Genomic DNA, 26,472 nt, shown 5'->3' on the forward strand with positions numbered 1-26,472 from the left:
TCACTATACATGCCTGATGTTTTCAGGTAACATCTTGCTTCTAGTACATCCCACAGTCTAACTCTGATTGGTAAAATATACACATGTAATATCATCCTACAGAACAATCCGTCACAGCTACTCAGAGCACGTAATTCAAATGACCCTTCGAGTTAACACATCAACTTATATTTGGTAAAATGCTTAACAAACCAACCAAGTATTTGCTTTTCATCGCTTCCTTTAACAAATGTAAAAAAGTAAAATAATTGAACATGTTGTGGTGTACTCTCTTTTATGGTTGGATTTAAAAGCAGCGCAAAATATGCGGGCATAAAACTGCCTGCAGGGCATAAAAACTGTCATAAAGTTAAGGAAATAGGCAAATAATTATTTGAGGACAAAGAATATATTCTATCTCACCTCTTAGGCTAAATTTTTGTGTGCCAAGAATTTATTAAAGAATGTTTACAAATATGGATGCCAGTGTTAAGGGTATAAATTTCCCATGATGCTCCAAGTGAGATGTTTGTTATTTGTTTCAACTTTTAAAAATTCAAATGCACATTATGATAAAATCAGAACAGATATTGAGCAATACATTTTTAAGTGAATAATGCTTCACAAATCATAACACCTCAAATTGATTTTGCTTCTTTCGTATATTACGCCACTGAAAATTGAGAAAACAAACCACTATTATTTACTGTTAACATTAGTTCTGTAGAAATTAAATTTGACTTCACCAGAAATACGTGGTAAACTGTGAACAGCTTACAATTTGTAATATACAAGTTAAGAATGAACAAGCCAAGAAAAATTTAATATTTTTTTTCTTCTGAAGCACTAGACTTCAAACTGCTGACATAATTTTTGTCTGTTTTGATGAAATACACAAGAACTTATCAGAATATTATTTAACAGCCTAGCACTCCTCAGTGAGTCCAATAAACCTATAATGCCCAGCAATAGAAACAGGGCTCATGGACCATGGGAGTCATTTTGTCAGGGCAAGCCCAGGGAGCACTGGGGTGCACATTGTCTGCCCTCTTGACTCTCAGCACGTCCCTCCCATCTATGTTGGTGTCCTATGGTGAGTCTGGTCAGAGCCAGAGATCACTCCATCTTTGGCCTTCTAGGTAGCGCAGGAAAGAGAAATGAAGAAATTCTATATCAGGGCTTTAGGGTCTGTGTGGAGAGTCTCTCCTCACTTCTAGGAAGTCTATGGACAGCATTCTGATAAAAAGACATAATCAGGCCGGGCACGGTGGCTCATGCCTGTAATCCCAGCACTTTGGGAGGACGTGGCGGGTGGATCACTTGAGGTCAGGAGTTCAAGACCAGCCTGGCCAACATGGTGCAATGCCATCTCTACTAAAAATACAAAAATTAGCCAAGTGTGGTGGCATGTGCCTGTAATCCCAGCTACTAGGAGGCTGAGGCAGGAGAATTGCTTGAGCCCAGGAGACAGGAGTTGCGGTGAGCCAAGATCACACCATTGCACTCTAGCCTGGGTGACAGATGGAGACTCCATCTCAAAAAAAAAAAAGACACAATCCCTCAGGTTACAATGGCACCTGATGCAGATGTGGAGAATAAATGTTCACATAATATTCAGCAGCCCTTGTAAAATAGAAAAATAGCTTCTCTTTTAATATTTTATAGGCTTTATTATAGTTCTATTACACTTGTAAAGCAATATGCTGTTACAGGAAATGAGTTTACATAAATGGCATCTAGACAACTTTAAATCTGAATGCTAAGACATCAGAGCAACTCCCTTAGTTCAGGAGACAGATCCCAAAGTGCAGGTTTAGGTTTGCTTATGATTTCATATATTTAGAGAAGTGGTAATGTAGAACTACAAAAGACTTCAGAACTTAGTTCTGCACTTCATTTTCAGGTAGTAAAAATAATAATAATAATAATATTTAATGCCGATGTTAGAATACCTACTTACTAGGAACTGTTCTAACACCTTCCCTGTATTCGTGCTAATATGCAACTGAAAGTACAGGCCCTGGCTGCCACTGATCAGATCTGTGACCTGGGGAACATGGGGGCCTCTGTTTTGCAAAAAATAGGATTAAAAACTCACCTGATTTCAGAGGATTGTTATGAGGAAAAGGAAGAGAAATCGTATTTTCTTTTCACCTTATGGCTTTGATTTTTGGGTGTAAACACAATCAAAACTGGACCAGGCTTCTATTTTCATGTCCACAGTAATTATTTTAAATTCTTTGTTTAAAACACGGTTATATGATCTCAACCCATTCTCTTGGCAGTGTTGTTCGCTAACCATATAGCTCAATCAGCATGAACTTAGGAGAAGAGCAGCAGAGTGTGGACACTGTCCACGCATTTACTACACACACATACTAGCAGCTTGGATGAGAATCATGTGCTGAAATTTGGTGTGAAAAATTAATTCTCAGTCCTGGTACATACCTTTGCTGTGACATATACCACTGTCTTTAAATTTTTTAAAAATGATCTTTGTATTTTAGAATAGTTTCTGGTTTATAGAAACACTGTGAAGACAGCACAGCATTTCCACATACCACATCCCCATTATCCCCACTGTTAACATCTTACATTTAGTACCATACATTTATCAAGATTCATAACCCAGTATTGATATATTAACTAGCCTCCACGCTTTGTTCATATTCCATCCTTTTCATCTACTACCCTTCCTCTGTTCTAGGATCCTGTCCAAGATACCACATTGCATTTAGCTGTCATGTTCTCCCAGGCTCTGCTTGGCTACAACAGTTTCTCAGACTTACATTGTTTTTGATGACCCTGACATTTTTGGGGATGACTGGTCACATATTTTTTAGAATGCACCTCAATTGGGAATTGTACAATGTTTTTATTATCCATAGACCGGGGTTATGCGTTTTTGAGAGGAAGACTGCATAGGTCAAGTACAGTTCTCATCATACTATCAATGCAACTTGTCACCTTTGATGATAACCTTAAACACCTGGCTGAGGTGGTGTCTGCCACGTTGCTTCCCTGTAAAGTTATTCCCTTCATCATGCAGTACTCTGCATACTTTAGAAGGAAGTCATTATGCCCAACTCACACTTTAAGGACTAGGGCATTATTCTATACCTCCTGAAGGGAAAACTACATAAATCATTTGGAATTCTGAAAGGTAAATTTGTCCTTCTCCCTCATTTATCAATTGACTCAATCATTTGCTTCTATCAGTAGAGACTCCTGGATATTTATTTTATACTCTGGGTTATAACCCAACATTACTGTATTTATTTTGTTACTCAAATTGCTCCAGCGTTGGCCATTGGGAGCACATTCTGTTAGCTCCTTTGTTCCTTTGACATACCCAGCATGATTATATTTTTTATATTACATTTTCTTTCTTACATTCTGGCATTTCAAGATATTCCACACTTATATTCTGTTTTTTTCTCCAATCCTAGAACTAGCCATTTCTAAGAGCCCCGGTTCATTTCAGTAGAGAACGGTATTAGAAATCTGGATGTGGTCTGGGCGCAGTGGCTCATGCCTGTAATCCGAGCACTTTGGGAGGCCAAGGCGGGCAGATCACGAGGTCAGGAGATTGAGACCATCCTGGCAACACGGTGAAACCCCATCTCTACTAAAAATACAAAAAATTAGCCAGGCGTGGTGGCGGGTGCCTGTAGTCCCAGCTACTTGGGAGGCTGAGGCAGGAGAATGGCGTGAACCCGGGAGGTGGAGCTTGCAGTGAGCTGAGATCACATCACTGCACTCCAGCCTGGGTGACAGAGCGAGACTCCGTCTCCAAAAAAAAAAAAAAAAAAGAAAAGAAAAGAAAAGAATCAGGACATGGGCGTGAAGAAAGTTCATTTATACTGGAGTGCTGTTGCTTCTAAGCCCTCTCAGCTTCCAAAGCAGGAGAATATATGTGTTTATAATGACCATATACATATACACATACATATAAACATATCTATAAATATTTCTCTGTATACCCTTCTATATCTATATTTAATCAGTTACATCATGGATCATTCTAGCCTCCTCCCTTGTTTATCTGTAAACTCTCACTTCCACAGATAGAATCCTGGCTTTCCATTTACCACCCACTTGCTTAATTTTTTAAGGCCAGAAAATGTGTAGTGGTTTCAGATAGTACCAGTGAAGCTGCAATTCATTCTTGACTATATCTTCTTATTAATATATGCACTCCTTTCTGTTGAGCATATACTATGGAGTGGCATCTTCTGCCTCTGGCAAGATGGAATAGAAAGGAACAGAATGGCAGCCCCGCTGATACCTTGATTTCAGCCCATTACTGAATGGGCTTACGATCTATGCCAGACTTTTGACCTACAAATCTGTAAGATAATAAATTATCATTATTGGATTAGGGTTAGGGTTTCAGCCTAAGTATTTGAACCTATGTGTATCTTTCAGTCTAAAGTGAATCTCTTATAGACAGCATATAGTCTGATCATGTTCTTGTTTTAATCTATTCTGCCAATCTGTGCCTTTCAACTGTATTATTTTATTGTTTAATATTTAATGTAATGACAGATAAGGTAAGATTTACAACTGGGGTTTTTATATTTGTTTTCTGTATGTCTTAGGTCATTTTTGTTCCTCTCACTGCCTTCTTGTGTATTAAATATGTGTTCTCTAGAGTACACTTTAATTTCCTTGCTGTTTCTTTTACTACATTAAAAAATTATGCTCTTAGTGTTTTCCCTGAAGATTATAATCATCACCATAAAGCAATCCAGCTCAAATTAATACTAACTTTATTTTAGTAGCTTACAGAAATATTGCTTCAAATTTTATCCCCTTTTATATTTATTATTATCATATAAATTACATATTTATGTATGATAAGTATATAAGCACAGTTTAATAACTTTTGGTTTATTCAGTTGTATTTTGATCCCTATGGAAGTAGAAAATTGTTATTAAAGTACATTGGCATTGTCTTTTATATTTACCTATATAATTACATTTACCAGGGTTCTTTATTTGTTGTATGGCTTCTGATTACTCTGTCTATCCATTTGTTTTTTCATTTTAGCCAAAAGACTCTAGAATTTCTTGTAAAGCAGGTGTGTTAATGATGGGTGCTCTCAGTTTTTAAAACCTGGGAATGTCTTAATTTTGCCTTCGTTTTGGAAGGGTAATTTTACTAAATACAAAATTCTTGGTTGACAATCTTTTTCTTATGACAGTGTTAAATATATCATCCCATTGCCTTTTGACTTCCATTAGTTTTCATGACAAGTCAGCTTTTGATCTTGTCGTTAAGCCCTTGTACTATGAGATTTTTTTTTCTTGCTTGCTTTGAAGAGTCTCTCTTTGTCATTGTCTTCTGTCAGCTTGACTATTATGTGCTTAGGTGTGGAGTTCATTGAGTTTTTTATTTTATTTGGAATTTGTCAGGCCTCTTGGATATGCTGATTAACTTTTTATATTATGTTTAGAAAGTATGAGGTCATTATTTCTTCCAGCTATCTTTGTGACCTTTCCCCTCTGCCCTCTCCTTCTGGAGTTCCCATTGTGCATGTGTTTGTACAATTGATGGTGTCTCCCAGTCTCTGAGGCTCTGTTCATTTTTCTTATTCTTTGTATCTGTTTCCCCAGACTGGTAATCTCAATTGACCTATCTTAAAATTTACATTTCCCTGGTTCTTTATTCTGTCAGATCAAATCTGCTGTTGAATCCTTCTTGTGGATTTTCATTTGCTATATTATACTTTTCAAACACAGAATGTCTATTTGGTCCTTGTACGTAATTTCTATCTTTTTATTGCAGTCCCTCATTTGATGACACTTGAAGACTTGTACATATTAACAAGCTAATTCTAAAATTTAGCAGGAAAGGCAGAGAGACTATAATATCTAAAACAATTTTGGAAAAAAAGAACAAATCTTGAAAGCTAACACTACCTAATTTTACCTATTACTATAAAGCTACAGTAATCTTGAAAGTCTTATTGTCAATAGTGTAGATACATAGATCTATGGAACAGAATTGAGAATCTAGAAATTAACCCATACTAATACGGTCATCTGAATTTCAACAAGAGTTCAAGAGAAGAGATAGTCTTTTCAACAAATAGTCCTATAAGAATTGGACATCCATAATAAAAAAATGAACCTAGATATACACCTAGCACCTTACACAAGAGTAACTAAAAAGGGATTATGACCTAAATGTAAACAAATAATTCTAGAGGAAAATATGGGACAAATTCTGCTTCATTTGGGTTGGGCAAGCATTTCTTAGATACTGCACCAAAAACATGACCTATAAATGGAAAGACAATGGATAAATTGGACATTTTTTTTTGAGACAGGGTCTCACTGTGTCACCCAGGCTGGAGTGCAGTGGCATGATCATGGCTCACTGCAGCCTCAACCTCCCAAGCTCAAGGGATCCTCCCACCTCAGCCTCCCACGTAGCTGGGACCACAAGTGCACATCACCATGCCTGGCTAATTTTGTTATTTCTTTGTGTAGAGACAGGGTGTTGACATTTGCCCAGGCTGGTCTCGAACCCCTGGCCCTCAAGCAAACTGCCTGCCTCGGCCTCCCAAAGTGCTGGGATTACAGGCATGAGCCAACATGGTGAGCCTGTACTTACTAAAGTCTTTTGCTCTGCCATAGATACTGTTAAGAGATTATGAAGACAAATTACATACTGGAAGAAAATCATTGCAAATTTCATTTGAACAGAGCTTGTATCCAGAGTATGTAAGGAACACTCAAAAGTCAGCAATAAGAAAACAAGCAACCCAATAAAAAAATGGTAAAAGAGTTAAACAGATACTTTCCCAAAAAAGGTATATAAATGTCAGATATGTGTATGAAAATATGCTCAACATAATCATTAGAGAATGGTGAATTAAAACTAGATTGCAGTACCAATACGCACCTATTAGAATGTCTTTTGAAAAATTGCAGAATAAATGCTGGTGAGGATGTGGTGGAACAACTGAGCTCTTACACATTTCCTCTGGAAAGCAAATGGTATAGCGACTTTAGAAAATAGTTTATCAGGTTACACAAAGTAAAACATACACCTACCGTATTATCAGCATTCTCATTTCTAGGAAATGGAAACTCATGTCTCACACACACAGACTTGTACATAAAAAGTGACAGCTGCTTTATTCATAATTGCCAAAATTTGAAAGCCCTCCAGACTTCCTTCAACTGATTAATTGATAAACAAACTGCTGTACATCCACATAATGAGATGATTTAAAAAAAGCTCTTGATTCATGTAACAAAAATAGATGAATCTAAAAATGAAGGAAGACCAAAAACTACATATTGTATGATTTTATTTACATTCCTCTGAGAAAGGCACAATTATAGGAGAAAAAAGAGGTTGGTGGTTACCTGGGGCTGGAAAATGGGGAGGGGTATTATCAATGAAGAGGTAGCATGGGAAAATGTAGGGAGTGATGGTATCGAAGTGGTGAACACAAGACTATGCATTTGTCAAACCCAATAGAACTGCACAACAAAAAAATACATTTTTACGGTACATAAACTTTAAAAAAATCTGCCAGAGTGTAAGCACAAAGATGAAGTTCATACTTCAACAAATGAATCTGACTGTATTATAAGTGAAACATACGCCTACATGGAAGGGGGCGGGGGTGCAAAGAGCTGGCCAGAGTAACAATATGCTGACTTGATTTTGTAAAGCTAAAGACCAGAACGACTGCAATTTTAGTTTTGACTAACTTGTTTATTTCTACAATCCTGATACATAGGGAAACGATACCTGTGGAAATCTACAGTTCTCTAACAATTTGTTATTTGATCTAGAACTTGTAATTTCTCTATATTTTCTGATTTGCCGTGTCCAACTGCCTCTATGTGGCTTTCAGGCAATATTCACCATCATTAGGACCTACCTCACGTAATTAACTTTACTTTAAACTCTCTTATCACCTTCCTTTCTTAGTCTGTCCATTTTGCCCCCTTCATGTACCACACCATACTTCCTCTGCCAGATTGAGGGCGTATTCCCTTGGATTTTTTAATTCACATTGCTCTGAAATTTGCCTCCGCCTCTGCTCGTCTATGGTTTGTCCCTCACCATTTCTAAACTCTCCTCCAGCCTCCCGCTTCTGCTGATAGTAATTGGCATGTAGCTAATATGAAGTAGAGGATTTTCGTGTGCAGGTATTTTTCTTGGTGTTTATGGTATCACACTTAATCCTCATCTCAAATTCCAAGGCATTTTCTTCTCTGAAAAATTTTTTTTTTTTTTTTTTTTGAGACGGAGTCTCGCTCTGTGGCCCAGGCTGCAGTGCAGTGGTGCGATCTCGGCTCACTGCAAGCTCCGCCTCCCAGGTTCGTGTCATTCTCCTGCCTCAGCCTCCCGAGTAGCTGGGACTACAGGCGCCCGCCACCACGCCCGGCTAAATTTTTGTATTTTTAGTTGAGATGGGGTTTCACCGTGTTAGCCAGGATGGTCTCGATCCCCTGACCTCGTGATCCTCCCGCCTCGGCCTCCCCAAGTGCTGGGATTACAGGTGTGAGCCACTGTGCCCGGCTCTTCTCTGAAATTTTAGTATATAATCTATACCATTTATAAATGTGGGTCAAAGACTTAATGTCTATATCACATATATGTCAAAGTCATTTATAAAAAAGCCTGGGAATGACCTTTGCAGGAACAACAGTTTCTGGATGGCAAGGCCTTACATTGTGCCTGATACATACATATTTAAAGATGATATATTTCAATTTGTAAGTTTTCAGAGGTGGAGCTGAAGAAGTAGGTAATATTGCCATACTGAAAACCATGCTTATTAAATTGACTTATTTACTCTCATGCGACATATTGTACTTTTAATTTATAAATATTTATTGGGAAATCACAAATATATGTATTCATACGTGTGTTTTTGTGTGTGCATGTGTGCAAATTGTGAAAAGTCCTTTGAAGAAAATATTAATATATACCTATCTTGTTTTTTAAAAAGTAATTTGAGCTGAAAATCACAAATATGTGCTGATTTTCTACCAATGTGGTATAGTGGAAGTGTAGAAAGTAAGGCTCCTGAGTTCAAAGAAGTCTTTCCATATGTTTGGGTAGGGGAGATGACAAGCGCGCGCACACACACACACACACACACACCCCTCTATTATAGGACAATGAAAGACATTGTATAATTAAGTAATATTTGAGTTCAGAAAAGGGCTTGCTGACTGGCCAACGTGTACCTGACTATTTGCTTAATTTTTCCAAAGATAGAACGCAGTAGTCCTTGAACTACAGATAAAACCTGCATCGTCAGAGGTAAACAAGAAAGCAGATCAGGCAGAAGACACACTATTACACTATTATTAAGAGCCGGGAAGGGGAAGTTTGAATAGCAAGTGCAGGGCATGCCTGGACTCCTCACAGCAAGGCAGCAATCTGTTTTCTACATTGTGAGTTGAAGCTTCCCACCGTCAGAGCAATTGTTTATGAGCTTTAGTCTTAACTTTGAAAATTGAGCATGGCAGACCTTTCCTCTCATCCACAAATCTAAATGAAAAGAGAACAATGGGTTCAAAAGCTAAAACAATGGCATAGCCCCTCATCAGCTAAAATATGTTATTTATTACCTAAAATTATAGTAAGTTGATTTATTAATAACGGGCTTTCTATTGAACACTTCCTCTGAGTCCCTTCAGAAACTCTTTGAGAAGACCCTGAAAACAAAATGGAGTGATTCAGCTAAAAATGGAAAAATAAATGGATGTCAGTTCTGGCCATTGAAACAGGAAAGAAAGGGCCCTGTGGTTGCTGCAGAAATGAACACGTGCTTTCTCTGCTGGACTCAAACCTGTGCTTAAGATGCATAATAACGGCCTCCAGTCCCTGCGGTTAATCAGTATTCAAGTGCCTTATTTAATTACATGGCAACGGTTCCTTTGTAATTCCTTTGCTTTCCCCAGACATACCTAGTAACATTTGTTCAAACCATAGTGCGTTTCCAATTAATATATCAAAAGGCACAAGCTTAAGCTTTGACATTCGTAGAAACCTTTGACTTGGAAGTATGTTTTCTAAAGAGACTGACTACTGTGCTTGACCTTGGGGCCCTTAGTTAGGAAGGAGAGTATTTTATTTTAGATTCAACTTAAACCGTCGTCTGTACTTGCTATTTGAGTGGCTGACTCTCAGCATTTGGTCCATTTTGTTAAAATGTCTTCAATTTCCTATCTCAAGACTATTAAAATTATTTCCTCTGAATGATGACAGTAGACCCAGATCTTCACACAAAGACAGAAAAGATCGGCGTTGAATCAGAAGTTAAATACCCGCATTTTACTAAGATGCTCTTTCGAAACTCAAGTCCAGAGCAGATGAATCTGGACTTGCTTGCTGGTGAAATATAAGCAGGAGTTATATTCTTGTAAATATCAGTCTATGTGGGTGATCAAAACTGGTGTCTGCTGCATGCTCATTTTATTTTAGTTTTTATTCTCTATTTTCAAGGCTACACATAAATTTTAAATCTTTTATCACTTTGCTATGAAGGGATTTGTCTGAAGCTAATGCCTGATTTTTCAGATGATGTTTTTCTTCTATACAAAAGCCAGATATCGAGAGTTTTAACATTTCTTTTTCCTCTACCTAATAATTGGTAGCTATTAGAACGCTAAAATGAATACTCACCATTATATTTTTTAAATGTTCTTTCAGGGCCTTCTTTCTTAAACTATGTTGTGAGAATAAATAAGTTTATTTGAGAGTTTTACAATTTAAGATTTTTTTGCAAGATACCTCACATTTTGTATTTATTTTGCCATGCTTTAGCAAAGCACTTTGCAGTCATGTACGAAAGTTTCCAATTAATTTATCTGCTTTAAAATACTGTCTTACAATGACTAAAATGCTGCTTTCCTTACCATTGAATAAGATACTATGCTTTGATGTTAAAAATTGATTAGTTCCTTTCACTTTATTACTCTTCCATTCACATGTGGGTTTATTTGTTTTAAATGATATTTAAGAAAGCACTTCATTTTCTTAGAACTAGTCATGTAGGAGAGACCAGTCCAGAATTTTAAACGAGTTTAGAGCTGTATAACCCCATTATTCCTCACCACTAGATGAGGATGTGCAGATTTTGTGCTTTTTCAAATTAGTTATACGTGAGTGTTCCTAGCTCCAGATGAGCTTATCAGACTGAGAGGAAATTGACTGGCTCAAAGAGAACTTCCTATTCTAAATTTCACTGGTATTGTCATCATTGTCTATGGCTGGTTGATTTAACGTGCATTAGTGTAGGGACGTGTGTCCTCTAAACAACGAAGATGTATTTAACCTCAGACCTGGCTCACACAACTACAGAATCCACGACGGGAGACAAAACAGTCTCCCGTTTCATGGATCTTCTCTTCCGCAAGTAGTCCATAGACAGAATTTGGAGGGAATCTTTGAACCTAGATGTAAAGAAAATTTCATTTTTATTTCCACTAACCTCTAACTGAAATTTAGCATGACTTTCAATTTTGAATGAAGCACAAACTACAGCAGTTCCTTAATAAAAATAACAGATTTTCTCACATCGTATTACAATGATTGCAGGAATTTCAAAGTGCCATTTTCGTTCCTTACTACATCAAAATTCTAGTAAATATTGAGCTCACTGGTAGATGTTTTATTTAATGCATCAGCAGAGAGGCGCATATGTTACTGGATTGGAAAAGTGTATTAGTAGGATTATCGTTTACATCAATGTGATTGGATTCCTTAATTACCATATGTATTTTATTTTATTCCTTTAAAAACCAGGGTTCTATTGGCATTATCAGATTGCAAAAAGGCCCCAAGGTGCAAACAAAATTAAGTGCCTCATCCCTAAAGTATTTCACTGGTACTTGAATATTTTCAGGCTTTATCCAAAACAATATTTGAAAATGTGTGAACTTTTTCAATGTAGATTCTGGATCGCATTCAACTTCTTCCTAAGTTTACAGATAATTATGTAGATATTTAAATTTCTCCCTCTCTTGCAGTTATTTCGCTCTCTCACTCCCTTACCCCTGTGACATTCTAACCTTATTTCATGTCTCCTTGTAAGTAACACCAGGTTCACGTCTTGACCTTCTTCCATGCTCTCGCGACCATAGTTAGATTGTCCAGCTGGACTGTAGATTAACTGTGTTCTCTAAGGAGTTGTGCAATGCCAAGATTCATAAAGCTTAAGATGAGAAAATATCCCATATGGAACTTACAAATTCTTCTTCATTATCATGTATTCATTATTGACCAAATAAAAATAAGCAAAGGATAACAATATTTTTAAAGAGGAGAATCATGTCTTTTCAACATATTGTATTCATTCCCTTGAATGAAATCTTAATATGTCTGTGTCTGCCCTAATGCAGACAATTGGCCACAAGCCCAAACACTGAGAAAGAAGAATTTTGACACTGTCAGGGATTTTTAAAAACATAGCTGGTAACCCCATTATTACAGTGATGATTTTATTTTAAAATAGTCATACAGAAAAAGGGCAATGCTTCATAGAGAAGAAAAAATATACAGGGGTGAAATTTTAGGTGTTAATTTAAGTGCTTACAATTGAATGAATAATATTAAAGCCAATCCCTCTTCCAATCTACTTACAAAAGCCATCTAACCAAAGAAAATCTGTAGATGTGATGGGTATTTCAGAGTCTGGTAATAGTGGACTATATAATTCAGATAAACCTCTCTGAAGACAGACAAAAAAAATGCTTGAATATTTCAGAATGCTAACAAGATATTGAAGACTTAAGGGGTTAAGTTCAGGGGAAGGAATAAACAGAAGGATGGCCATTTGGGGCCAACCCTCCTCTATGGATATCAGCATTTTAAGCATCTGAGAGGGTTGAGAGCTAAGGACATCATTTGACAGCCTTGTGAATCTAAGGACAAAATGAGCCTAAGGCCCACCAAGGGGTCAGCCTGGCAAACACCACTTATTTGGCATAGGAATCCTCAAGAAATATATCCTGGGAGTAAGGATAAACTAGAGATATCCTGGCCCTTCCAGGATGGGAAGCTCAGCACTAAATTATGTCAATCTTAAAATCAGATTAAGTGGATCCAGGAGAGCTTGTGCTCCTAGTTACCCAGAATGAAATGCAAATCCTCTCCAAAATATTCTTGTCTTAAGCCCCAAATTATGTTTACAAATTTTCATATTCAATATCCAGGGTTAATAGAAAATGCACAGGCAGAGAAGGAGAAAATATACCATAAGCAACTAACAGGAGGAGAGCAAGAAATAAATAGAAACTGATTCACAAGGACAACTGTGATGGGACGCCCACATCTGGCCACTTGCTCTTTTTTTTCTATCCCCCTGCCTATACATGGGGTCAACCAAATGCCTCACATAGGTCTAGAGCATGTACCTATGTGATCATCCTGGGGTCTTGTGGTCCGGCCTATTTGATAAAGCAGTTATCAATCAGACTGCCAAAGAACCATTACTAGAATGTTCAAGTAAGTAAAAGATAAGATATAAATTTGAACAGTGAACCAGAAACAATAAACAATAAAGAAACAGTGAACTAGAAACAATAAATTATAAAAGAAAAAAATTAAGACTGAAATTTAAGAACTTTGAAGAGAGAATTAGTAAAGTAGAAGATTGGCCAGAATAAAATGACCAAAAAAAAATGTTGAAAAGTTAAAGGATGGAAAATATAGAAGCAGAAGTACCTACCAATCAGGCAATGCTCTTTTACCAAAGAGCCAGGCATATGTAATTGGAATTCAGAAAAAGGAAGAAAATGAGAGAGCAATGATGTTGGAAGCAATGAGAGCTGAGAAATTTTCAAAATGGATGAAAGACACCAAATCAAAAATTCCAAACCCCTATAAACTCCAATCATGGTGAATAAGAATGTGATTAAACACACCTAGGTAATCAGCTGAAAACCAGACCCAACAGAAAATTATTGAAAGCACCTAGAGACAAAACACTAATTTCCTTCCAAGGTGCAGTCATTACCTTGAGAGTTACTTCTCAACTCAGAGGATGGAATTCAGAAGACAACGGAGTGAATTCAAAATGCTTTTAAAGAACTCCTGGCCGGGCTTGGTGGCTCATGTCTGTAATCCCAGCGCTTTGGGAGGCCGAGGTGGGCGGATCACGAGGTCAGGAGATGGAGACCAGCCTGGTCAACATGGTGAAACCCCGTCTCTACTAAAAATAAAAAATTAGCTGGGCGTGGTAGTGCGCGCCTGTAATCCCAGCTACTCAGGAGGCTGAGGCAGGAGAATCGCTTGAACCCAGGAGGCAGAGGTTGCAGTGAGCCGAGATCGCACCGCTGCACTTAAGCCTGGTGACAAAGCCAGACTCAAAAAAAAACAAAAAAAAAAAAAACAAAAAAAAAAAACCGGGCTTGGTAGCTCACGCCTGTAGTCCCAGCACTTTGGGAGGCCGAGGCGGGTGGATCACGAGGTCAGGAGATTAAGACCAACCTGGCTAACATGGTGAAACCCCGTCTCTACTAAAAATATGAAAAATTAGCCACGTGTGGTGGCAGGTGCCTGTAGTCCCAGCTACTTGGGAGGCTGAGGCAGGAGAATGGCACGAACCCGGGAGGCGGAGCTTGCAGTGAGCCTAGATGGTGCCACTGCACTCTAGCCTGGGCGACAGAGGGAGACTCCGTCTGAAGAAAAAACCTATCAGGCCTCCTACCCCAGGAGTCTGCATACTTTGGAGTGCTTTCTTCAAAACTTTTAAGTCCTTCTCTGGTACCTGGGCTGGCTGGGCTGGCAATGCCTACCTTGTAATTGTCCAAGTTCCTCACTGGTAGCTGTGACCTGCAGCATGTCAGTGCTGTCTCACTGGGCTCCCTGAGCCTGGGATGCACCCATCTGGCCCCTGGCTCTTTGCTCTCTGACCTCTTGTTTATACGTGGGCGTCAACCAGATACCCCACATAGCTCTAGAGCTTGTGCCTATGTGATCATCCTGGGGCCCTGGGGCCCGGCCTGGTCTGGGAGGGCTGTCTGGTTAATGGACATTGTCTGCTCACTGGTATGAGCTTGGGCTACAAAAATGATGCTGACACAGGGGTAGCAGTGGGCGTTCTCTACTTGGGGCACCCACCGCCACTGGCCTTCAGGATGTTGGATCTCCCCACTTGGGACTGTGTGACAGGCAGTCATCCAGGGTGGCCACATGTATCTTCTCTGAGGGCTTTTGAGACCACTGCCCAGCAAAGGCAACAAGCCCTGTGCATAAGTGTCCTCTTCTGACTCTGACTGGTGAGGAGTCCTTGTGCTCTTGGTCTGTCTCAGCCGTGTGGGATGCGGGAGGCATGTTCTTTGTGTAAATGGCATGGCTCTTTCTGCTCTGTCATGCCCCCTAGATTCTTACACTGGTATGTCCTCGCAAGTCAGGGTGTGGAGAGTCAAGAATAGCTTATACTTTGAGAGCAAAAGAGCAAGTGTGATATTGATAGAAGAATAAGCAAATGGACAAACCAAATGGAATAGAGATCCCAAGACACAATGATGCTTCCCCAGAAACCTGTTATTCTAAAACTTGCATTGAAAACATGATGAAAGGATGCATTCTTTGGTACATAATTGTAGGACATTACTTTTTTCTGTATAGAACGTAAAATAAAATAAGATCCCTATACACATTACCTAGAAATCAATTCCAGGTTGATTAAGAACATAAATATGAATAAAATAGAAACATTAACACATATGTAAGAAAATATCTCTATGACCACTAAATCCATGATCAGTAGATAATGATATGTTGCTCAGCCTCATTTGTTATTAAAGAAATAATTATAAATGTACACAAAAATGAGATGACATGTCATGCATGTTAGATTGGAAACATTTTGAAGATCCCAGTAAATATGAAGTATTTGTTAAGTGTGGGGGGTCAAGGATTGCTTTACACTGACAGTTGGAAAATCATTATGGGTAATTGGTAAAGCTGATGGTGTTCATCCTCTGTGTCCAAACAATTCTACTTTTAGACAAATATACAAGAAAAATTTCACTTATGCATTCGAGAAGACATTTCTAAAAATGTTCATTGCAATACATCTTGTACTAGTGAAGAATTTATGAGAATCCAAACGTTCATCTGTAGGTGAATTGATAAATAATGGTTGATTTTTTTCTGTATGTGTGTGTGTTTGTGTGCTGAGAGGGTTTTGAAGCGGCAACAGCCCAGTAGCAATGAGTACACCCAGCACCCTTGTCTTGGTCTCTAAATATGATTTTCTAATAAAATAAACTGGGACTCCTTTAAGAAATGGCTGATTCTAGGACTGGGGGAGGGAATATAGGGAAAATAGAGGAAAATGTAGGCAAATGGAGCATCCTGTAGTGCCAGGAAGTAAGAAAATGTTAAAAGACACAAAGATGGGGCATGTAAAAGAAATAAAGGAGCTCCCAATGGCCAAACACTTTGAACAACAAATTAATAATGAAGCCAGCCCAGTGGTGTGCACCTGTAATCCCAGCTACATGAGAAGCTGAGGCAGGAGGATTGCTTGAACCCATGAGTTTGAGACCAATCTGGGCAATGTGTTGAGACTCCATCTCAAAAAAATTGATAATTAAATTTATTGAAATTTAGCCCCCAAAATAAAATATACACGAGTCCATACAGATATAATGATTGAACATATAAATAAATGGGGAGGGAAGAAACACAAATATTCCTGTCAGAAGAATTCAAAATAATTTCTGTAGATACTTCTTGCTAGGAGGCGGAGCTTAACCCCACGCCATTCCCACATGAGTGTGGGCTGGACTTAATGATTTTTTTTAAGACTAGAATATGAAAGGGGGGAAATAAAATATCTTTACAATGGTGAGACCTGACAAACCTAATGGCATCCAAGTGATCAAGGTGACCCTCACCAGTGATGAGCCATGTGGACAGTGTGATATGATGTGTTGAGAATAGCAAATCACCTCTGTGGTAGCCCCTAAAACACTCATGCACATGTTTAGCCACAAGAAAACATCAGGCAAAACCAGATTGAGGATATTTAACAGGATACCTGACCAGTACTCCTCAAAACCGTCCAGGTCGTCAAAAACAAGGCACGATTAAGAAACTGTCACAGATTGGAGGAAACTAAGGAGAGAACACAGATAATCGTAGTGGGATCCAAGGCTGAATTCTGGAACGTCAAGAGGGTACTAGCAAAACTTGGTAAGTCTGGAGCTATTAAAGAGTAGTACACCAATGTAGTTTGTTAGTTTTGTCAATGTACCAGGGTAATGGAAGATTAACAATAGTGGGGAAAGGGTCAAACGTAGATGGGAACTCCGTACCATGTTTGAAACTTTTCTGTAAATCTGATACTATTCTAAAGCAAATTTTTTTTCTTTTTGTTGTTGTTGTTGTTGTTTTGAGACAGAGTCTGGCTCTGTCACCCAGGCTGGAGTGCAGTGGCACAATCTCAGCTCATTGCAACCTCCACCTCCTAGGTTCAAGCAATTCTCCTGCCTCACCCTCGGGAGTAGCTGCGATTAGGGGCACGTGCGACCACGGCCGGCTAATTTTGTAGTTTTAGTAGGGACAGGGTTTCACCATGTTGATCAGACTGGTCTTGAACTCCAGCCTCAAGTGATCCACCCAACTTGGCCTCCCAAATTGCTGAGATTACAGGTGTGAGCCACCGCGCTCGGCTCTAAAGCAAATGTTTATTAAAAAAATAATTGGCTGCCACTTACTACACACCTACTGGAATGGGCAAAATCCGGAACACTGACACCAGCAAATGCTGGCAAGGATATGGAGCAGCAGGAACTCTCATGTATTGCTGGTGGAAATGAACAATGGTAGCACACTTTGGAGACAGTTTGGCAGCTTCTTACAAAACTAAACATACTCTTACCATGTGACCCAGCAGTCACACTCCTTGGTATTTGCCCAAAGGAACTGAAAACATGTCTACCCAAAAGCCTGCACATGGATGTTTGTGGCAGCTTTATTCATAATTACCAACACTTGGAAACAACCAAGATGTTTTTCAGTAGGTAAATGAATAAGTCAACTTTGGTACACCCAGACAATGGAATATTATTCAGGGCTAGTAATAAATGAGCCAACAAGCCATAGAAAAACATGAGTGAAAATTAGATGCATATTACTAAGTGAAAGAAGCCAACTGAAAGGGCTATAACTGTATGATTCTAACTATATGGCATTCTGGAAAAGGTAAAACTATGGAGACTGTATAGAGAACAGTGGTTGCCAGGGGATGGGAGCAAGGTAGGAGGAAAGTGGATGAATAGGTGGAGCCCAGAGAATTTTTTGGGCATTGAAACTACTCTGTACGATATTACAATAGTGGCTATGTGCCATATGTTTGTCCAGATCCATAGAATGTACACAAGAAGAGTGAACCCTATTGTGAACCACGGACTTTGTGTGACAACAATGCGGTAGTAAATGCACCACTCTGGTGTGGGATGTTGGTAATGGGGAGGCCATGCATGTGTAGGGTAGGGCCTCCATGGGGTATCTCTATAACTTTCTCTCAATTTTACTGTGACCCGAAAACTGCTTTAAAAAATAAAGTCTTAAAAAAAAATCACAGACTAGTAGATCTGGGTTGAATCTCACACCAGTGGTTCTATAACAAGAGTAAGTATCAGAAACACTGGAAAATTATTAAATGCAGGTTCCAGGGACTTTTTGCCAGGTCTCAGAAATTGTATTTTAAGAGGACTGCCCTGGGGCCTTGGAATCTGTGTTTTTAGTAAGAGCCCCCAGATGTATTGAATATTAGTGATACATATAAATGAAAATATAGTTGAGAACACTGTTTCCAGAAAATTAATGAAAAGCCAGTGATCGTGCAGCTATTTGTTTGCTGAGCTACAACCAGAAACCAGGTCTCAAAATCCCTCAGGAGAGGCAGGAATGGCTGCTTTATAGTTCTGAAATTATTTCTAACTATTAATGGACCTATGGATCCTATTATCATGAAGAAATGAACATTGACACAAGCAAACCCCGGGACCAAAGCAGGTGAGAAGGTAAGAAATGCAGCGGTAATAGCTGTGAGGGCCGCGGGTCTGCCATGTTTTGGAATTCCAGAGACTTCCAGTGTGGTGTTTTCTACTTCGGGGTGACTGCAGAGGACAATAGAATTTCTCCTCCTCAAGGCACCTGCTGAGCCCTAATTGCCTTCAGACTTCCAGATGTCACTAAGTCTGTTTGCCTGCACATATTATAAGATAAACATTCAAAAAAGACAGGAAACTGGACCCATTGCCTTCTTTTCAGCTTCTGCTGGTAATGCACTTTAAGACCTTGGGTGGTGCAGTGATTTTTTGCCCCATCATCAAGCTTGAAGATATTTTAAGTTTCCATAAATCATCTTGTACAGTATGTATTATACAACTTTACAGAAACAATGTTTAAAGTATTAAGCCAATTAAATGGATTTCTACACAATGGGAATATTTCCAGACCCACCTTTCTGGTCCTTTTTTTTTCTAAATATGTCTGTAGCTTATCTTTTTATCCTAATACCAGGGTTTTTGACAGAGCAAAATTTTAATGTTGATGAAATCCAACTTAATATTTTTTTCTTTAATGGGTCTTGCTTCTGATATCATACCTAAAAATTCATTGTCTAGACTGCTGTCTGAAAGATTTATTCCCATGTTTTTCCAAAATAGTTATAGTTTTATATTTAAATCTATTTTGAATTAATTTTTGTGCATGGCATGCAATATAGATTAAGGTTTGGTGCGGGGGCTATGAATGTCCAATTTTTCAAGCACCATTTGTTGAGAAAGCTATCCTTCCTCCATTGACTTGGTTTTGCTCCTTTGTAAAAAAAAAAATCGCTTAGACATATTTGAATCTACTTATGGAGTCTCTGTTCTGTTTCATTGATCTGTGTATGTACCCTCCACCAATGGTAAACTGTCTCAATTACTGTAGCTATATAATTAATCTTAACATCAGGTAGAGTGCTTCCCCCATTTTAATTCTTTTTTGAAATTGTTTTAGCTAGTCAAATTCCTCTACCTTTCCATATAACTTTTGGAATAGCTTATCTTATGTAGCAAAAAAAACTCTAGCTGGAATTTTATAAGGAACCAGGGAGAATTGACATCTTTGTTATACTGAGTCTTCCAAAACAGGAACACTGTGCATCTCTCCATTATTTATATCTTTATTAGTATGTAGAAAAATATGTAGAAAAAATGACTGATTTTTATGTGTTGATCTTGTATCTTATGACCTTGCTGAACTTACTCATTTGTTCTAGGAGTTAGTTTTTTTACATAGATTTTTGGGGAATTTTGTATGTAGACAATTAGAGAGTGTTTTCTTTCTTTCTTTCCAATCCATATGACTTTGATTTCCTTTTTATGCCTGATTATACTGGCTTAAACTTCCAGTACTGTGCTAGAGTGGTAAGAATGGACATCTTTGCCTTGGTCCTGATATTGGGGATGAAGCATTTAGTCTTCAACCATGAAGTGTGATGTTAGATGAAATATTTTATTTATAAAACCAAGAATGTTTTTCTCTATTCCTAATTTTCTAAGAGTTTCAGTTATAAGTAGATATTAAATTTGTCAAAAGCATTTATCTATCAAATGATAAGATCATGTTAGTTTTTCTTCTTTAGTCTATTGTTACGGTGGATAACATTGATATTTAATCATTGAACTGTTGCTAGAATAAATCCCATTTTGGGGTTGTATAGTCCTTTTAACAAATGGCTGGATTCAATTTACTATTTTTTAAAATCATTTTTCATCTCAATTTATAAAAGATACTATAGTTTTTTTGTACTTTTTTAGTTTAGCTTGGTATTTAGGTGATATTGACCTTATAAAATATTGTGGGAACTATTTCATCCTTATTTGTTTTTGACAAATATTGTCAGAATTGATGCTAATATTTGGTGAAACCTCCATTAAAGCTGTCAGAGCATGAAGCCTTCTTTTCCAGAAGGTTTAAAAATTATATATTTAATTTGTGTAATAGAGTAGTATTCAGATTACTTATTTTATATTGACTGACATTTGACAGTTTCCTTCTGGTGAATCCAAGGTACTGTCTATTATCCTTTTATTTAACCTTTAGTATTTCCCGTAGAGAAGGCTTACTAGTGACATTCTCTCAGTTTTAGTTTATCTGAGAATGTCTTAATTTCTCCTTCATTTTTTTCCAAAGCCATTTTTGCTGACTGTGGAATTCTTGGTTAGCAGTCTTTTTCCTTTAGCACTTTGTTGAGCAGGTTGGTGAAAGAGAGAGAGAGCACACGTGCGCACGCTCGTGTGTGTGTGTGTGTGTGTGTGTGTGTGTGTGTGTGTGTGTGTTGGAATGCTTTCAGTGCTTTGGCAGATAATTTACAGGCCTGCCTTAACCTTCATTCTAAAGTTCGTCTTTCACAGATATTGAAGATCCATCAGCGATGAGACATTAGGACCATTTGTGCCTTTTCTGGGCATGCCTACAGCCCTGCACATGAGTATGCCCTTATAGATCTTCAGTTAGATATTAGAGCTTTTCGAAGCACTGTATTTACAATCTCATCATCCGTGGTATTTATTTAAGGATTTTCACCTGCCTCTTGCTTGCCCGACTAGCGTCACCACCTCAGGCATCCAGGATGTTAAACGACTGTGGTTAGTAGTTTTGGACAAACACTCTGTGGATATGGCTTTCTTCACTGAACAAGCTCTGATTCAGGTCAAATAAAAATAAACCCTATGAATGAGGTTTTCTGACAGAGTGAAGAGGCCAGACAATCCTCCAAAGCTCCTAACCCATTCTGCCCCCGCTACTTGTTGCTAGGCTGCTGGTTTTCATGGTTACCATAGTTATAAAGTTCCTCAATTCAAGGCTGTCACAGAAATGAGAAATGGGGAATGAGAATTGGCCAACTTAAAATATTTAATACCCCATAGCTTCCTTGCATTACTGAGATCCAGCCATTCTTCCTGCATGAACTCTGCTTCAACTGTTCCAAGTGTCTGGTTAATTTTCAAAGTTCTGAATAATTTGATTTTAACTTTTGTTGCTACTGTTACCAGTATTCTTACTGCTTTTATGGGGGGGATTTTCAAAGGCTTTTATATGAGTCAGTTTTTTGCTTCTCTCTTACTGTATTCCTGTGTTTTTAAGTGGTTGCCATAGGATTTACAATATACATATTAAATAAACCAAGCTCCCCTTCAAATAACACCATACCATTTAACATGTACTTCAGGTGCCTTTTCCCGGTGTATCCTCAGCTTCTCCCTCTTGTTCTTTATGTACTGATGGCTACACCCAGTGCATTATTACTATTATCACTTTCAACAGTTACATTTTAGATCAATTGTGAATAAGAAAAATAAAAGATTTTACTTTACCTTAATTTCTTCTTTCTCCAATGCTCTTTCTTTCTTTATGTAGGTTTAATTTTGCATTTTTGTAAATTATTTTTCTTCTGCTTGAAGAACTTCGTATAATATTTATTTCTGGGCAGGTCTGCTGCCATTTTGTTCCCTAACTTTTCATTTTTCTGTGAGTCTGTATTTCTCCTTCACTTTTTTCAGTCATGCAAGTTTCCTAATTAAACTTTGTATTTTGAGATAACTGTAGAGTCACATGCAACCGTAAGAAATAATACAGGAGCTTCCACATTCCCTTCCCTCATTTCCCCAATGGTGACATCCTGCAAAAGGATAGTACAATACCAAAACATGGACACTGATAGAGTCAAGACACAGAACATTTCCACCATCCTATGGATCACTCATGCTGCCCTTTTTTAAGCCACATTCACTCCCTCCTGTCCTTGACCCCTGGAAATCACTAATTTGTTCTCTGTTTCTATAATTTTGGCATTTCAACCATATATAAATGGTATAATACCAGATGTAACCTTTTCGAATTGGCTTACTTTCAGTCAGCAGAATTATCTGATACTCATTCAGATTGTTCTTTGACTCTGTCCTAAATAAATAAAGCGTGTTTATATTGTGTCATCCATTCGCAGAACATAAATCAGTGAACTAAGCTCATGGATTAGAGGTAGGTGGTAAAAATGGGAAGAGGAAATCAGATGTTCTTGGCAGCTCTCACACGCTTGAACGTGGAAGAGGCAGCGTGGTCTTAGACCTTTGTGCTGAGCATTCTAATGCAAAGCCACCCTGCAGGGTTTTGTATTTGCACTGGCTTTCATCTCTCCTCCTGTAACAGTTCAGTAAAGGACTAGGATTTTGTATCATAAATCATTTCTTTGAAGGAAAAAAACAAATATTATGACTTCCCTTAAGGAAATAAAAAATTAATGTGTTATTTTTGCTTCAGTATTTTTTACTCCAAATTTTAACCTTGCATGTCCAGTTACAAATGATATATTTGCTCTCTTAAAAAAATTCACAGTAAAGTAACAGTTTTCTTTGCTTCCTGTTTATTGCAAATCACTGTGGAAATAAATATAATTAATTGCAAAGTTATTTTTAATGTGTTTTGTCTAAATTTGTTTTATATTTATTTTTTCAAGTCAAAGCAACCAAAAAAATGAAAAGATGCATAATCTCTTTAGAACAAACAGCAAGTAAGCCAATAGATTATAAATCATACTTTATCCATTTTAGCAGTGTTTAAAAAAAGTTTTATAGATAATGTACAGTTACAGGAGATTTTTATTTACAATAATTCATGATTAAAGTATATTCAATGAAGTAATTACAACAAGTCTACCATATCATTTTATTTTAAGACTACACATCTCAAATTTGCCATTATTTAAGGCAAAAAATGTAGAAGTAAAGCTTGACCAAGGTTAATAAGGTCAATTAGAGTAAAACAAACTTCACTAGAATTAGAGATATTAGAGAGGATTTACAATTATATGCAGATTGCATAGTTTAGGGGGAAAACGGTATTTTGAAAAGAAAAAGCAACGTGTGTGATAACATTAGAAATGAGCTGTCACCTGTGCTTGATGTAGCACACGAAAAATCATTATTTTCAAGTTGTGGTTACAGCTTAAATCACATTTGAGTAGATAACTTAATGCATACTTTCACATTTAATTGGGCCCTTTTTTTTAAAACTGCATTCAGATCAGTGTGTATAAGTTGTGGTTGATTTTAAGACGGAGAATGCAGAGGGAGCTGAGAATGTAAGTCCCAGCTGCTGAAGCTTGCTCCCAGAATAAAATTATTTATTCATCCAAGGCTGTAATTTTGCAGTTATGTCTAACTCAAGATGCACCCTTTTCATCTTTCGAACAACTATTTCTTTGGTTTGGAAAGAAGGAATGAGATACCAATTTTTCTACATTCCTATTTTTCTCTCAAATATTTTCAGTTAATTAATGTTCATGTTTAGAAGGACTAATTTGAATAAAGTGCTCTACTAGGCATCTGTTAGGTCTCTGATTTATTCTAGAAAATTAAATTTGTATGGATAAAATGTGCAAGGTGGAGTTCCTTAGAGATGTTAATGCTCACAGCCTTTCTTTTTTAATTGTGAAGGAATTGTAGATTTCAGTGCTTATGTGGAATTATTGATTCAAACACTAGGTAACCTCTACTGAACTGAAGTTTTATTCTCAAGCTGCCTAAAGTTTATGGAATAAGTATGTGTAATATTTTTAAAGCAAATGATGTAAACATTTTATTTCTACCTCTTCTCTCCCCTTGGGATCAGTTCATGTTATCTTTCTGGTTCATGAATGTCCCAAAGCCCTCATGGTTTCTCTCTTTCTGGCTCTTCTTGCCGTCACCTGCCTCTTTCTTCCGTGCTGTTATTGTGCTCTCAGGTCACCTCTGTGGGCAGCCTACTCTTTATTCTAGTGAGCCGTGGCTTTCTTAACAGCCTGGAGGGGTTTCATTGGGAGACGGATTTCTTCCAAGTCTGGAAGAGGCCCAGACTCTACCTATTGTGATGCTTTAAGTGGGAAGGTCCTGCTGCTTATTTTAAACAAATAAAAGCTGCTTATTTTAAACAAATGAAACAAGCATTTACAGATGGGGAACTCAAAGGAAATCCAGGGACTAGGGAGGGCTTGGTACTGATGAAGCATCCACTTAATGCATTTAATACCTTGAATTTGTTGGCATGTTCTGCATAGTTTTGCTTAACTGGATGGTTGTGACTAAGTTATCTGGCATCACAGAGACCACACTCTCATGAGCTGTCATGTCCCATGTCAGAGACTCTGAACATCTACTGTCCAGAGTGGCTCCAACATTCTCCTGCTGAAACGTCTTTGCTTTATCGTCATTTTCCTGCCCCGTGTTTTTCAGAAGCTTGGGTGACCCTGCCCTCCTAGCTCTCTAAAGTAGGTGTCAAAGTCTTCAGAATAACAGCAATTCCCTTTCCTTTGGCTTCTTTCCAGATTTTTTCTTTATCTTTGATTTTCGGGAGTGTGAAAGTGATCTGTTCAGGTGAAATTTTTATTTTCGGCATTTATCCTGCTTAAGGTCCTCTGAGCTTCCTGGATCTGTGGTTTCGTATCTGACGTTAATTTGGGTAAATTATCAAGTCAATATTTTAATTTGATTATCAAAATCAGTATTAAAAAGTAAATTAATTTTAAATAAGTATTAAAGATGTTGTCTTTTCCTTTCTCTTTCTCCTCATATTCCCATTATGCATGTGTTTCCCCTTTTATAGTTGTCCCATAGTTCTTGAATATTCTGTTCCATTATTTCTGTTTTTTTCTCTTTGCTTTGCAGTTTTAAAGTTGTCTATTTCTATCTCCTCAAGCTCAGAGATGTTTCTCCTGAGCTGTATCCATCTCCTAGTGAACTCCTGAAGGCATTCCTCATGGCTCTGACAGTGCTTTGGGTCTGGAGCATTTCTTTTTGGTTCTTTCTTAGAATTTCCATCTCTTTGCTTATATCGCCCATCTGTTCTTGCGTGTTGTCTACTTTATCCATTAGATCTCTTAGCATATTCATCATTGTAGTTTTACATTCCTAAATAAGAATGATATGATGGACTCTGGGGACCGGGGGAAAGGGTGGGAGGGGGATGAGTGTACACTGCTCAGGTGATGAATGCGCCACCATCTCAGAAATGCCCACTAAACAACTTGTCCATGTAACCAAACACCACCTGTTCCCCAAAACCTACTGACATTTAAAAAAATAAATAAATTCCTGGTCAAGCAATTCTAATAGCCCTTCCATAGCTGAGTCTCATTCTGACTCTTGCTCTGTTTCTTCTGTGAAAGGAAAACTTAAGACCCCAATTCACTCTGCCAAAAGAAAGATTAAGCTGGAAGTGGGGCCATGCAAGAAAGAGCCTTTCCTTTTGTCCTAAGCAAATAGCCACAGATAAAAGGTTAAAGATCTTCACAGGTAGCTACTCTATGGTCACCTTACTGAGCATGAGATAAATACATAATTGAGTATTTCCCTACCTGCTCCTTTCCTCTTGCAACATATGGATTACCATACCCCCCCTCTTTCTAGCCCACTTTTCCCATTCAAATGTTGAAGCCCTCAAAATCATCTTCGAAGAAA

General features: G+C 37.9%; 1 protein-coding gene across 2 annotated transcripts in view, besides 1 other annotated feature; it reads left to right on the forward strand.

The window, feature by feature from the left end:
• Positions 1–26,472, forward strand: part of GABRG3 (gamma-aminobutyric acid type A receptor subunit gamma3) — a 570,804-nt gene that overhangs the window by 418,391 nt on the left and 125,941 nt on the right. The gene's annotated exons all lie outside the window — the stretch shown is intronic.
• Positions 22,833–23,387: an enhancer, noted in NCBI's record as "OCT4-NANOG hESC enhancer chr15:27657550-27658104 (GRCh37/hg19 assembly coordinates)". NCBI's record gives its function as "activates a minimal SCP1, AML or CMV promoter by ChIP-STARR-seq in primed H9 embryonic stem cells {active_cell/tissue: H9 hESC(primed)}" and the evidence as "EXISTENCE:reporter gene assay evidence [ECO:0000049][PMID:30033119]".

The sequence above is a fragment of the Homo sapiens genome, chromosome 15 (genome assembly GCF_000001405.40).
Source record: "Homo sapiens chromosome 15, GRCh38.p14 Primary Assembly".
Taxonomy (NCBI): domain Eukaryota; kingdom Metazoa; phylum Chordata; class Mammalia; order Primates; family Hominidae; genus Homo; species Homo sapiens.